General features: G+C 48.2%; 1 protein-coding gene across 3 annotated transcripts in view, besides 1 other annotated feature; it reads right to left on the reverse strand.

Annotated features, from left to right (window-relative positions):
- GABBR2 (gamma-aminobutyric acid type B receptor subunit 2) overlaps window positions 1-14,097 on the reverse strand; it is a 420,827-nt gene that overhangs the window by 205,783 nt on the left and 200,947 nt on the right. For all 3 annotated transcript variants that reach the window (NM_005458.8, XM_017015331.3, XM_005252316.6), the window contains one exon: window positions 2,522-2,623. In NM_005458.8, coding sequence (NP_005449.5) covers window positions 2,522-2,623 — 102 coding nt within the window. The remainder of the gene's footprint in view (window positions 1-2,521; window positions 2,624-14,097) is intronic.
- Window positions 1,449-2,648: an enhancer, noted in NCBI's record as "CDK7 strongly-dependent group 2 enhancer chr9:101257622-101258821 (GRCh37/hg19 assembly coordinates)". NCBI's record gives its function as "activates an origin of replication core promoter dependent on BRD2, BRD4, P300/CBP, MED14 and CDK7 cofactors, with strong dependence on CDK7, by STARR-seq in HCT116 cells {active_cell/tissue: HCT116}" and the evidence as "EXISTENCE:reporter gene assay evidence [ECO:0000049][PMID:35650434]".

A 14,097-nucleotide genomic window follows, 5' to 3' on the forward strand; every position in this document is an offset into this window, starting at 1 on the left:
CTGGAGCTTACATTCTAATGGGAGGAGACAGATGATAAAACACCAGGTAAAATGAATAGAAGTCCAGATATTGTTAGAGGTAACTAGTTAGGTCAAGGTCATACTAGAATAGGGGAGGCTCTTATCTAACATGATCAGTGTCCTAAAAAGACAATATAAAGAGAAGAGAGGACATGCCATGTGTGGCAGAGATTGGTGTGATGCAGTGGTGAGCCACAAACTGCCAAGGATTACTGGTGACGCCAGCAGCCAAGAGAAAGGCAAGGAAGAGCCCTAAGCCTTCGAGAGAGTACATTCTGTTGTTATAAACCACCTAGTTTGTGATACTTTGTCGCAGCAGTCCCAGGAAATGAAAATAGATATCAATCAGTGAAATGGAGGAGAAAATTAGCAGAAAGGGACAAGTGGGAGTTGGAGGAACAGGGATTTCAATTTTTAAATAAAGTGTTCAGGGAAAGCCTCGGGGAGAAGGGGATGACTGGACAAAGACTGCAAGAGGTACAAGAAGGAGCTGTGCAGGTGTCTGGGTGAGGGGAGCCTTTGCCAACAGATGAGTACTCTGTCATTAGTGCTGCTCTCCTGGCTTATGTGATACTGAAATCCTTTCTCAGAAGTACGTGCAGAGCAGTGGAGAAAGCTGGGCCATGACATTGCCCAGACCTGGGTTTGAATCCCAACCCACCATTTTTCAGCTGGGTGTCTTGGGGTAGTTGCTAACCTCTTTGAGTCTCGAGTCCACATCTGTGAAACAGGGATACAAAAATTCCCTCCATCTGAGGGCTTTGGGGAGGACGAATTGAGCAAATAAAGGTGAAGGGCTCTGCACAGGGCCTGGCCTGTGGTCAATGCACTGGAAAGGTGGCTATTTCGGCTGTTATTTTCATTATGGTTAATGTCGTTGCTACTTCTGTTGGAGTTGGCTGGTTGATGGGTAGAGAGTCCAGTTCCATCTCCAGTTGCTCTGCTCTGCACACAAAGGTTCTTTAAACATTAAAGTCCATAGATGCTGGGCCTCTGGAGCTCAGGGAGCTATTTCAAGTGCCCACCATGGGGAGATGCCTCTGCATGTGGCAGGAGAATGTCAGCGCAGCTGCAGGCCCTCCCCTCCTCTCCCAACCCTGCCCCAGATGCTTCCTGCAGAGCAGCCACCCCACCCCTGAATCCTCCAGGCCCAACACAGCCTGTGACACTGCAGGGGGGAGACCTGGCTCCAGCCACCTGGGCTGTCAAGCAGGCCCTTCCCTGACTACTGTGTCCTCATCTGCAGAGGCTCCCAAGGCTGAAATGTGACCCGCAGGCTCTGTATCTGCTCTGGAGGAGGTGGTAGACAACTGATATGTTGCTTCCCTTGCTCCCCTTCTCTGGGCTTTGGGCTCCCCATCTGTGAACTGGAGGATTTAGAAGGCAACTGCTCTAAGCTGCTACCTGCTCTGACTGGTGTAACCTGGGACCCACACAAGACAGAAGGGACATATCTGCAGTTGGCATCTGGGGTCTCCATGCTAATGACTTTAAGTGAGGGCCTGAAGGAATGGAGGAGAGGGAAAGAGGAATTTGATAGCTCTGATGACACTGGCACCTGCTTACAAACCTCCAGGAAGTCCCCAGGATAACATATCAAACTTCTAAGCTTGGCATTCAAGGCTCCTGGGAACTGACTTCTGTTTCAGCCTCCCTTCTACCCCACTCCAGGTACTTCTGCCTCTGTGGAATTCCTGCTGATTCTAAGCCATGATGAGCATGGCTACCCTACCCTCTGATCTTCCCTCCTACCGTGCTGGGCTCCTGTAGGAGGGGATCCCTCTCTTCCTCCTCCACCAAATGTTGTCTCTTTTTGGAACCTTGTCTGAGCACTCTCCCCAGGTGGGATGAGTCACTTCCTCCCTTTGTTCCCAGGCCCCTTTGTTCCTGTTTCCCCTGAGAGGTCTCTGTCTTCTTCACCATGCTGGGAGTAACCTGAGGACAAGGTCAAGGCCGATGATGTCTATGAGCCCAAGAGAGGGTCTGGTGCGTAAAAGCTGTTTGAGAGAGTATGCAGAAGGAATGGACAAATGAAAATTAGAGACTGACTTACAACTGGGGAAACTTCTCGTTGACCCTTTCTGTTCCTAAAGAGAGTGTCACCGGATAGGGGTCAGGAGCCTGGGCTTTCAGTTGCAACAAGAAGACTTCTTTGCTGTGGGCTTTCTGAAAGACAGTTCCTCTCTCTGTGACTCTTCAAAACAGACATGACAATCATGTGTGCCCTGCTTGCCCCTGAGGCTGCGTTGAGAGATATAAAACCATCAGGAAAGTGCTCAGTGGCTGTGCACCTGCAGCCAGCACCTCTGGCCAGTGTTGGAGAGCAAGGAAGGGAAAGCCAAGGGAAGCCAATTCCTGGGAGCTTCTCCTGTCTGGGATGCCAAGGTGGAAATGAACTTGAGACCCAGACCAAACTTGAGGCTCTTTCATAGTCAGGTAATTTGGGCACCCAGGGCATTGAGATCAGTCTGCCATTCACCCTGTGGCTAGCCACACCTACCTTCAGCTTTTTGACACTGGTACAGGGATCGTTGGAGAAGCTCTCGGTGTCTGAAATCTCAATGTCCTCGCCATACAGAACTCCAGTCAGGTCATTCCGCACCTGTCAGCAAAGAGAAAGCAGAGGGTGGGTGTGCTGGGGACCACAGGAAGGGCCAGTTCCGAGGGGTCACCCTGGGGAAGTCAATTGGGCAAAGCGATTTTCTCTACCGACAATGCAAAGTGAGTGGTTTTGTTTTACATTATTAACTAGACCGCCCCACAAAAACTTGAGGATCCCCCAGTCCCACCCTGCAACTGACACATGGATACAAGGAGGCCAGACAGGGAAGGGACTTTCCAAGATTGCCCAGGGAGTTCCTGCAAGAGTCAAGATTAGCACCTTTGCTGGTGTTTCTCCACCACATCACACTGTCTCCAAATCAGGCTATTCAATTGTGTCTTTGTTAATATTTTGCACTATTTATTTGCAACATTATTTCACTTTTATGGTGAGGAAATAGCTAAGATATTCAAAGACAATATAGAGTAAAGGAAAGAGGAAAGAAGTATGGAACCTGCCTATGATGTTACACGTAACTATGTGTCTACTGACACTCAGAATGAGGAATATCTATGGATGTGAAAAGCAAAGGGCTGCAAACTCCAGTGTTACCAGGACCAGCCAGTGTGTGAACTAGCCTGTGTGGAAGGATATTACAGAATGATAGGGCTGGGCGTGGGCTCACACCTGTAATCCCAGAGCTTTGGGAGGCCAAGACGGGGGGCTTGCTTGAGCCCAGGAGTTCAAGACTGCAGTGAGCCGTGATCACGCCACCGTACTCCAGCCTGGGTGACAGAACAAGACCTTGTCTCAACAGAACAAAACAAAACAAAAGACAGTAATAGTTGGTTGCTGAGTTAGAATGTGGGTCAAGGGTTACCAGACCTTCTGATTTTTGAGGGGAGAAATCAGAAATTTAGACTTTTAAAATATAAAATCCCCTAATTTTTAAATGTTGATACTATTTTGAATTAAAAAAAAAAGAAAGTAAGGATCAAACCAAATAAACTTAAAGTCTGTATCTGGCCTGTGGCCATGGCTGTGCACCCTCTGACATATAGCAATGGAAACTGGATTTTGGGTTTTAGTAGCAAGAACTAGGCTGGGGTTAGGGGATCCAGCTTCCAGGTCCTGCTCTATCACTGACTTGCTTGTGACCTCAATCTCTCGTGTGATTCTTCCCTTCTCTGGGCCTCAGTTTCTTCCGCTTTAGGAGATGCTTAAAGCACTTCTTGTTCACACCCATTAGCATGGCTATTACCAAAAAGCAAAACCACAAGTGTTGGTGAAGATGTGGAGAAACTGGAACCCTTGTGTGTTGCTGGTGGAAATGTAAAATGCTGCCACTGCTGTGGAAAACAGTATAGCAGCCCCTCAAAAAAATAAATATAAAATTACCACATGATCCAGCAATTCCACTTCTGGGCACGTACCCAAAAGAATTGGAAGCAGGGACTTGACAGACATTTTACACCCATGTTCATAAGAACATTTGTTCACTGCAGCTAAAAGGCAGAAGCAGCCCAAACGTTCACTGCTCGATGAATGGATAAATGAATTGTGGTGTATACAGACAGTGAAATACTATTCAGCCTTCAAAAGGAATAAAATTCTGACACATGCTACAACATGGATGAGCCTTGAAGACATCATGCTACATGAAATAAGGCAGACACAAAAGGACAAATATTGTATGACTCTATTCATATGAGATACTCAGGTTAGTCACATTTATAGAGACAGAGAGTAGAATGGTGGTTACCAGCAGCTGAGGGAAGGAGGGGGTGGGGAGTGATTGTTTAATGGGCACAGAGTTTCAGTGTGGAATGAAAAAAAAAGTTCTGCAGATGCAGTAGTGATAGTTGCACAAACATGTGAACATACTGCTACTGAACTGTACCCTTATAAATGGCTAAAATGATAAATATTCTGCTATGTATATTGTATCACAATAAAAAAGAACTTCTTATTTCAACACTTGGTGGATCCTTGTAATGTATACATCAGAGCATTTTGGATAATCTGGCCTTAAATGTCACAGGATGGTCAACACCAAGGAAGGGAGACAAAACAGACTGTGATGGGAGCTGCCATCTTTTATTTCTTTGACAGAAATATGAAGCAAATGGAGCAAATGTGAACATGTAATCATTCTGGCTAGCAAGTCCTTGGGTGTTTATTTTATTCTGAATGCTTGAAATGCCTTGTGATCAATGTTTTGTAAAAAGAAAGATGCTGTCACAGTCAGCGTGAACCTTGTCCATCCTTCGTTTTTACCTCAATTTGATGGAAGATTGGTAACTAGTCAATGGGGGGAAAAAGTTAACTTTTCCATTAGAGTTTATTTCTGCTGTCTCAAATCCTTCTGGATACAGGTGGGCCCCATGATGAGTTTTGAGCAGCACGAGGTGTTGTGGAACAACAGTCATTATTAAACAGGGAAAACATGCACATGTGGCCCTCCTGGGAGGAGCTCAATGCGTGAGCTCCTGGAAACGCACAGTCTAGCCTTGGCTCTCCACTTGCATGGCACCCACATTCCAAGAAACTACCCAAACTCTCAAGTCTCAGTTTTTACACCTATAAGATGGGGGCAATACAGCAAGTAGCTCATGGGGTTGACTCAAGGCTCAGCAAAAACACTGAATATGTGGAATGGCTTTGTAAACTCTAAAGTTCTACACACCACTTAGAAGTTGGAGTGATCATTCCCAGGCAAATGGCAAGGCATCAAGGCTGCAGTAGCTTTGGTATCCACATGTGTGTATTAATGTGTGTATGAAAGCTATATATAAACATGGCAGAATAAAATGTTTTATAGGTGGTCAGAACTCAAAACGAATAGACAAAACACACCCTAGAGGTCATCTCATCCCTCCCCTCATTTCACAGATGAGGAAACTGAAGTGTGATTCCCAGTCCTGGCTGGCTCTTCTGGATTCTGCCAGATGTGGACAGTTTCGGAGGCCCGATGAACCAGAACAGGCCAGAACAGATGGTCAGTGAGGTCAGCCACTCACCGCCCATAATCTCAGCACCAAGGAGTCTATGCTCACCTCAAGTATTTATCCTAATGGACTTTCTGGGGAAAGCAAATGGAGGCAGTCAGTAATATTATAAATGGCATTTTAAAGTGACAAAAGCATGGAAAAGAAATAATGTAATAGATCTTCCTCACAAGGGAAAACAATTTACATGCTCCTTAAGTGGGTAGAAAGACCCTTTAGTGCACTGATGGAAGATTTACTAAGAAAATTTATAAATGCCTAGGTTTCCTTCTGGAACTGCAGTTATCTCTTGTTTAAAACAGAGCCAGGCCAGGTGCGGTGGCTCACGCCTGTAATCCCAGCACTTTGGGAGGCCAAGGCGGGTGGATCACCTGAGGTCAGGAGTTCAAAACCAGCCTGGCCAACATGGTGAAACCCCGTCTCTACTAAAAGTATAAAAATTAGCCAGGCATTAGTGGCACGTGCCTGTAATCCCAGCTACTTGGGAGGCTGAGGCAGGAGAATCACTTGAACCCCGGAGGCAGAGGTTGCAGTGAGCCAAGATCGCACCACTGCATTCCAGCCTGGGCAACAGAGCAAGACTCTGTCTCAAACAACAACAGCAACAACAAACAGACGAAAACAAAAAAAACTGGAGCCAATATCTTGCCATTAACTACATTTCTGCAAAATGATTTCCTTTTTTCTATTAATCTCCTTTATAAAAATAGAAGTACATTCTTCTGGGAAAGGAATAACTCTTAATTCCCAATAAAATACACTCACACACACAACACACTCACATACACACAAAGAATGGCAGGGGGTGCCCCTGGGGGCCTAATCTGCATATTGGGCCAAGTGAGGCAGCCACCAGGAGTCTGATTTGCTGAAAGCTCTGGGCATCCTGGGAGGGATGGGGAGAGATGGGTAATGATGGGCAGGGGAGGTTAGAAGGCTGCCCCTCACCTGGAAGGGAGCCCCAGGAGGGCAGGAGACACAGATTGACAGGGAGTGAGGAGTGCTGTGAGCAGGCACCAACGGCTGCTGGAAAGGAGGTAAGGAAGGACTGGGCTCCCTAAAGGCCAGGGCCTCTGGGGCTACCCAAAGGGGAAAACTCTCCCTGTTTCTGGAGCAGCGGATCCAGGACCTGGCCAAGGAACAAATCCACAAGGAGCCGAAGACATTCGGCATGGAGAGAATGGATGGGTCAGAGCCCCTGGAATAAATAATCTGCGATAAGAGGCTTGGAGGCAATAGTTGTTGACTTGACACCTCCTCCCCACCCCCGCTACAAGAACTGGTGTGGCCCATCCATGTGAGTTCGTGCCAGAAAGCATGTCCCTGAAGCAGTGGTTCTCAAACAGTGGCCCCTGCACCAGTAACACCAGCACCATCTGAGAACTTGCTAAAAATGCAAACTCTCCAGCTCTACCCAGAACTACTGAATCAGACACTCCAGGGTGGGGTCCAGCACCCTGTGTTTCAACAAGCTCTCCAGGTAATTCTGATACATGTTTAGAGAACCACATTCTAAACAAAGCAGGATAAGTTTTAAGTAAATGATTGATAATTGTGAGAAAAAAATTTTAATGGCTTGGATATTTTCCCCTCGGTTAGGAGACCAGAATGTATTAACTGAGCAAGGCAATTAACAAAGGGTGATTAAGACTAGGAACCACTGCCCCCCCCCCTTCCCCGCCCCCTGCTCCTTTTTTTTTTAATTAATTAATTTTTTTTTGAGACAAAGTCTCACTCTTTCACCCAGGCTGGAATGCAGCAGCATGATCTGGGCTCACTGCAATCTCCGCCTCTCAGCTTCAAGCGATTCTCCTGCCTCAGCCTCCCAAATAGCTGAGATTACAGGTGCCCGCCACCACACCCAGCTAATTTTTGTATTTTTAGTAGAGACGGGGTTTCGCCATGTTGGCCAGGCTGGTTTCAAACTCTTGACCTCAAGTGATCCACCCGCTTTGGCCTCCCAAAGTGCTGCAATTATAGGCGTGAGCCACTGCACGTGGCCAGGAACTATTTTTAAAACATATCACATCTAGAATGAAGGAAGGGACAATCCCTCTCTGTCGTCCATCTCAGACCACACCTTGAGCACTGGGCTCAGTTCTGCTTGCCTTTATCAGGGTAGCAGCAAAGTGGTTCACACTCAGAGGACAGTTTTAAGTAAATGATTGATAATCTAGGACAGGGACCAAGAACCCTTTAGGGAGACCACAGGCACGGGCTGATGGAGAGTGTAAAGGTCACAAAGGGTGAGACCAATGACTCCTCAGGCTCCCACGCAGCTTTGGGAAGCAAACAGCCAAATGCAAGAATGTTAATATTTCAACTCAGACTTCAAGTTCTAGGAAGTCCCACATTTTTCATAAAGCTAAGAGCCAGGAGAAATCCATGGCTTTGAGGGAAAGCCAGCAGTGGGGACAGCCTCACTCATGCTGAGCAGGAGAAAATGCCGCCAGGTCAGATCAGCTGTCTGAACAGCAGAGACGAGCGCGTCTGCCCACAACCTCCCTCCCAGCTGGTTCACGGTGCTGTGGTGAAGAGAGTGACAGGGACTTGTCACTCCAATAAAGCCATCACAATGGCTTCGTTCCTGCAACTGACTGAGCACACAACCTCCGTCCACACACTAGACATGGGAGTGCAGTCTTTATCCATGCCTGCAAGACATAGGGGGAGAAGGGGAGGGGTTGGAGGAGGAAAAGGAGATCAGAGAAAAAGGTGGAAAGCAAATGGAATTGGGAAGGGAGTGCAGGTAAACGGATGACTCGGAAGAATCTTCTCACTCAGCATTTAATTGAGTCCATGTGACCTGTTTAAGCCTAATGTGGGTCTGCACTGTCCCATCAGGGAGGCTGGTCCCCACTTCTGAGAAGGCCACAGTGCCACTCCACTGCAAGGCCTCCTCCCTGCTCTGAAGCCTGCACCTCTCCATTAAACACAGAACAGCTGCCAGAGGACGCCGGGTACTGCCCTCTCTCTAGAATCACCCAGCCTTGGGTTTATCAAATCACTGCATGACCCACCGCTTCAGTGTGTGGGCCAGCCTGTTCTCTCCACCCACACTGTCTCTGCTTTAGGGCCCCAAGACTGTATCTGCATGCCCTGCCAGGCTCCTAACCCCTGCAACTCCCTGCTACCCACAGGTAGGGCCAGTGAACCCCTGGCTCCTATGAATCCCCCCGCTTGGCACTGGACACTCCTGCCCTCCATGGATGCAAGGTGAGGGGCCTGAGGTCAGGAGCCCTGGGGTGCAGCCCCCAGTCAGCCTGGAAAGGGACCTTCTCTGACCTCAGGCTCTCAATCTGAGCTCTTGCTTCATTCCTGGGACTGAAATTCTCTCATGCCCAGTCACTGCCTGGCTTCTGAACTTGAGTACCTTTCCGAGCAGCCACTCACCACTTTGGATTTTCCAGAATGGGCTCTGTTTGTCCCTACCAGTCCCACTACTTCATTCACTCACTTATTCACCCACTCATTCATTTCTGATATTGACATCTCTTCTGTTTCAGGAACCGTCTGAGGTAGGACTGGGCCTCTAAAGACCAAAAATGTTCACTGTCCTGGATCTCTGTCTAGTGAGGGCAAGAGGCATTCATCAGCTGACTGTCCCAGGGAATGTGTAAATGTTCACTGAGACAAGGACGCTCAAGTTCAGGGGCAGGCTCCTGGGAGAGGCTGTAGCAGAGAAGTCAGCCCCAGGCCAGGAGGTGGGGCAGGGAAAAGGATTCCAGGCCGAGGAGCAGCATGTGTACTTCCTGTGACGGGAGGGAGCTGGTGGAGAAACTAAAAGAATGTCCTAGCGGGCTTAATGCAGAGCCTAAAGCAGGGCTTGAGGGAGGCTGTCGGAATGAACTGAGAAAGAGGTGGGTGAGGGCAGCCCACACAGGCCTTCCAGTTCACGTGAAGGATCAGGTCTCGGCCCTAAGCACAGTGGTAACCCATGATGAAGTTTTAAGTGATGGAGTGACATTATTAGAACTATGATTTGAGACAGTTGCTCAGGCTTCTGTGGGACCTCTGAGGGGCAGGGACATGAGGGGAAGAGGAAGGGCAGGGAGGGGCTCCAGCAATGGTCCGGGAGAGGGATTCTGGAGGCTAGATGATATGATATGGGAGGTGGCAAGAAGTGATCGGCTTGGGGGTACATTCAGGACAACTAATAATCTGTATTAGTCATCTACTGCTGTGCAACAAATTATCCCAAAACGTAGCAGCTTAACCAATACACATCCACTGTCCCCCACAGTTTCCATGGTGAGGAATGGGGAGCAACTTAACTGGGGGTTTCTGGCTCAGGGTCTTTCAGGAGGTTGTGGTTAGGATGCTGGCTGGGGCTGCCGTCACCTAAAGACTTTGGGACTACATGTTGGAATCACCTGGGGAGTTTTAGAAACTGCTGATGCCCTAACTGCCTCCTAAACCAATCAGAACCTCTGGGATAGGACCCAGGCATCTGTATTTTTAGAGCTTTCCAGGAGTTTCCAATGTGTAGCTAAAGTGGCTACTGATTGGGGTAAGAGCAACAGAATCATCAAGCTTACAGCTGGGTTGCCAGCCTGTCTGAAAACCCCCGAGCCCCCTGTCCCCATCTCCTCCAGACCCAGGGCACCAGGATTGCTCCCCTGCTCTCTCCTGCCCCCTCTAGTAGGTACATCTCATCTTTAATCCTCAGGCCCTTCTACTCCTGGCCCTTAGCACCCCGAGCAGAACCTGACTATGGCAGAGGAGAAAATGGAGAGAAGGAAAGGAGGCAGGAAGACATGAGACAGAAAGCAAGAAAGGGAGAAGAGAGAAGCAGAATATTGTTATAGCAACTTGCTACTGCATTCAGACCACGTGTCCCACACAGAGAAGGCTCCCATGGGCAAGTGAAATTCACAGCCAGTGGCTGGAGGCTGCAGAGAGCTCCAGAGATCTCAAGGCACTCAGCTTCTATGGCCAGTAGTTCCCCAGACAACTTCCCTAATGAGGCTACTGCACCAGCAGAGGAACCATCCAGAAAGGCACAGATCCAGGTAAAGATGGGGAGAACCAGGGCTGCACCACATGCACTTTACAACTCTTTGAAAATTCTAATTAGGTTACGAAATGAACTTGAGAGCAAAGCGAATTCTCAGCTCTCCTATGGAAGCTGAGGTAACCTACTTTGTCATTCAAATGCACTTGCTATATATAGCCATGAATTGTGCCGAAATGTCACTCCTCTTACCTGACTAAAGTGTATAATTATAGATTTACTTCTATTCATTCATGAAATGTGTCTTCACTTGATTAAACAGTTCATTCAAGGAAAATCCATTAAAATATGGAACATGTTAAAATGTGGCTCCTTAGAGGCAGAGGGCACCGCTGTAGCTAAGATGCTAATTAGGATAAACAGGCATTTGAAACACTCAAATCTTTGAATAATTCAGGCCACTTTTACTGGGGCTGGAGCTCCCCAGGAACTGCCATTAATTTAAGCTAATTAAAAAATTAGCCTGGAGAGGTGTAGACCAAAGCCGACTTCAAACACAGGAGAGCTGTCATGTAGAGGGGGGGCACCAGGTTCTGCGCACCCCCGTGGTGCTGGAGCACCAACAGGTAAGATGGTTCAGGAAATTAGATTTTGGCCCAATGCCAAAAAACCCCATAGCTTTCTAATGACGGAGAAGGTGGCTTTGATAGATAGTGAGGTCTTTCAAAGAATTGGGGCATATGCTTAAAAACTTATCCATGTGGTGTATTTCTGCCTGTCCAACCTGATGTGCATTCATTAAGAGAGCATTCCTTCTGAGAAATGGAGCCACCTACTTTTTAGATTTCTACAAATAAGTTCGCTCTTAATCATCTGTAACCAGATTTGAAAGTAAGTGAAAAAAATGTAAAGGGCAAGTGTGTAACTGAATATGTATTAGATCTGCTGCACAAGGGGAATAGCTGTACTTGGGGAATGCCTGTGGGTATATATCCAGCTGTATCCAGGTGTGTGTGTGTGTGTGTGTGTGTGTGTGTGTGTGCATGTGCGTGTGTGACCCATGCATGTTCACAGTGCAGAGCCAGTGGCTTGAAATGTGACCTCCAAAAAAGATAGGTCTAAGTTCTAACCCTGACAACTTGTGAATGTGACCTCATTTGGAAAAAGGGTCTTTGCAGACGTAATTAACTGAAGGATCTTGGGATGAGATCATCCTGGATAAATCCAATGTTAAGGATTCTTATAAGAGAAAGGCAAAGGGAGACTTGGGGCACAGAGACATGAAGGGGAAGTCCACGTGAAGACAGAGGCAGAGGGTGGAGTGATGCATCTGCCGGCAAGGAGCACCTGGAGCCACCAGAAGCTGGGAGATGCAGGCAAGGATTCTCTCCTAGAGACTCCAGGGCAAGCCTGCTGACACCTTCATTTAGGACCTCTGGCCTCCAGAACTATGAGACAATACATTTCTGTTGTTTTAAGCCACCTAGTTTGTGGCGATTTGTTTCGGCAGCCACAGGAAACTAATACACCTGGGGCAGGTTCCCATGGAGAAGCCTGGGCTTCCTATCCAATCTAGATGCTCACATCACATGTCAAGGCCTCTGGAATGGAACCCCAGTTTCCCTCTATTTGATGGCACCATTTGTCTGTCCCAAAGATATATGGTATTTCTTACATCTCCAGAATTACCAAAAGCAGGGAAACAAGTGGAGGACCATACGCTGTGCATCGTGGAAATGTGGGTGCCTGGGACAGGGGCGCTGGCCTCATGGAGCTTCAGTGGAGGGCTCAGGAGTCTGCATCACTGACTTTGAGTTGACTTGCAAAGAGATGACCATGAGTATGGGGGCTGTAACATTTTCTTCCCCATGGACGTGTCAGCTCCAGGAGGGAAGCACTTGGTTTGTTTTGATCTCAGGATCCTGTGTAGTGCCTGGCATATAGTAGGTGCTCAGAATTGTGGTGAATGAGAGCATGGATGAGTGCATGCTGAGGCTGCACCATGGCCACCCACTCTTAGATGGAGGAGGTTAATATTCCAAGCCCACTAGACCCATCTTGAGCTGGTCTCGCAGGGATGAGGCAACTTCGCAAGGGCTGGGCTGCATGCTGAGGCTGAAGACCCAGTCTGCAGACACAGGGGTGAGTCCCAGGGGCAGCGCTAGCTGGAACTCTATCAGGGCCCCAATGAAGGAAGAAATCTGGGGAGAGCTGTGGTGCTCTGGGGGCACCCCTGTGGGGACATATGGGGCCTGAGGGCAGCTGGAGTTCCCTGGGGACAGTTCCCTGCCTCTCTCACAATGGCAGAGAGTGTCAGGCACCTGTGACCTGAGACCTGCCCAGCTACACACATCAAGACCTCATGGCAGCTCCTACCTGCTGGGAGTCCAGCTGGCCTACATGGCAATTGGGAGCAGAGATCCCACCTGGTAGAGCTACAGGCCCTCACACCCAACCCACAATGCCAGCTGTCAGCACTATCACTGCACTATGAAAGTCCTCCAGAGGGAGGGCAGGGAGGCTGTAGGCTGCTCCTCTCCCCAGCCCACCACTGCTCCTCGGAGGCCTGTCTCCCAGAACCACATACTGTAGGGGAGAAACGCACCCTCGGCCCAATTTCAAGAAGGCAACTGGGGCTGCTCTGGCTTTCAAATCAAATCAAATCCCTCTTTCGATCAGCCAGGCTGATGGAAAACTGATTTCTCAGTTTTAGAAATTCCAAAGAATCATCAGTGATGGATAGAGTCATGCCCTTCCCCCAACAATGTCCATGTCCAAATCCCTAAAATATGTTACCTTATGTGGCAAAGGGGACTTTGCAGACAGGATGAAGTTAAGGATGTCAAGATGGAGCAACCATCTGGGATTATCCTGGTGGCCCAACATGATCCCAAGGGTCTTTATAAGGGAAGGAGGGAGGTAGAAAAGTCAGAGTCAGGGAAGAAATTTGTTCAAAGATGCTCTGCTGCTGGCTTTGAAAGTGGAGGAAGAGGCCAGGAACCAAGGCTCACGGGCAGCATCTAGAAGGTGGGAAAGGCAAGGAAACATTCTCCCCTAAAGCCTCCAGAAGGAACCAGTCAAAATCAAGAACACCTTGATATTGACCCAATGATTTTGAACTTCTGATCTTCAGAACTATAAGATAATAATTTGTGTTGTTTAAAGCCACTAAATTTATGATGATTTGTTGCAGCAGAACAGGAAACTGATACAATAAGCTTTCACCCTGAGATCCCATACATCTTGAAATGCCAACATGCTGTTTGAAGCCTTCCCTTGTTCCCAGGCTAGCAGTGACTTATCCTCTGAACTCCACAGTCCTGGGCTCAAGATCCCTCTTCTCGGCTAAACAGAATGAATGTCCTGATATCTCACACACCTTCCATCTGGGACACCTCTTGCCCCTCCAGATGCCTAGCACAGGGGCTGCCTGAGGAAGCAGGACCAGGTCCAAGCACCTTTCTTGGATAATGCACAAAAATTTCCTGTTGGGCATCCCCAACCATCAGTCTTCCCTTTGGCCCTCATTTTTCAAGGACCTCACCCACTCTAGGAGCAGTCGGTGAAGTCAG

The sequence above is a fragment of the Homo sapiens genome, chromosome 9 (assembly GCF_000001405.40).
Source record: "Homo sapiens chromosome 9, GRCh38.p14 Primary Assembly".
NCBI classification, from domain to species: Eukaryota; Metazoa; Chordata; class Mammalia; order Primates; family Hominidae; genus Homo; species Homo sapiens.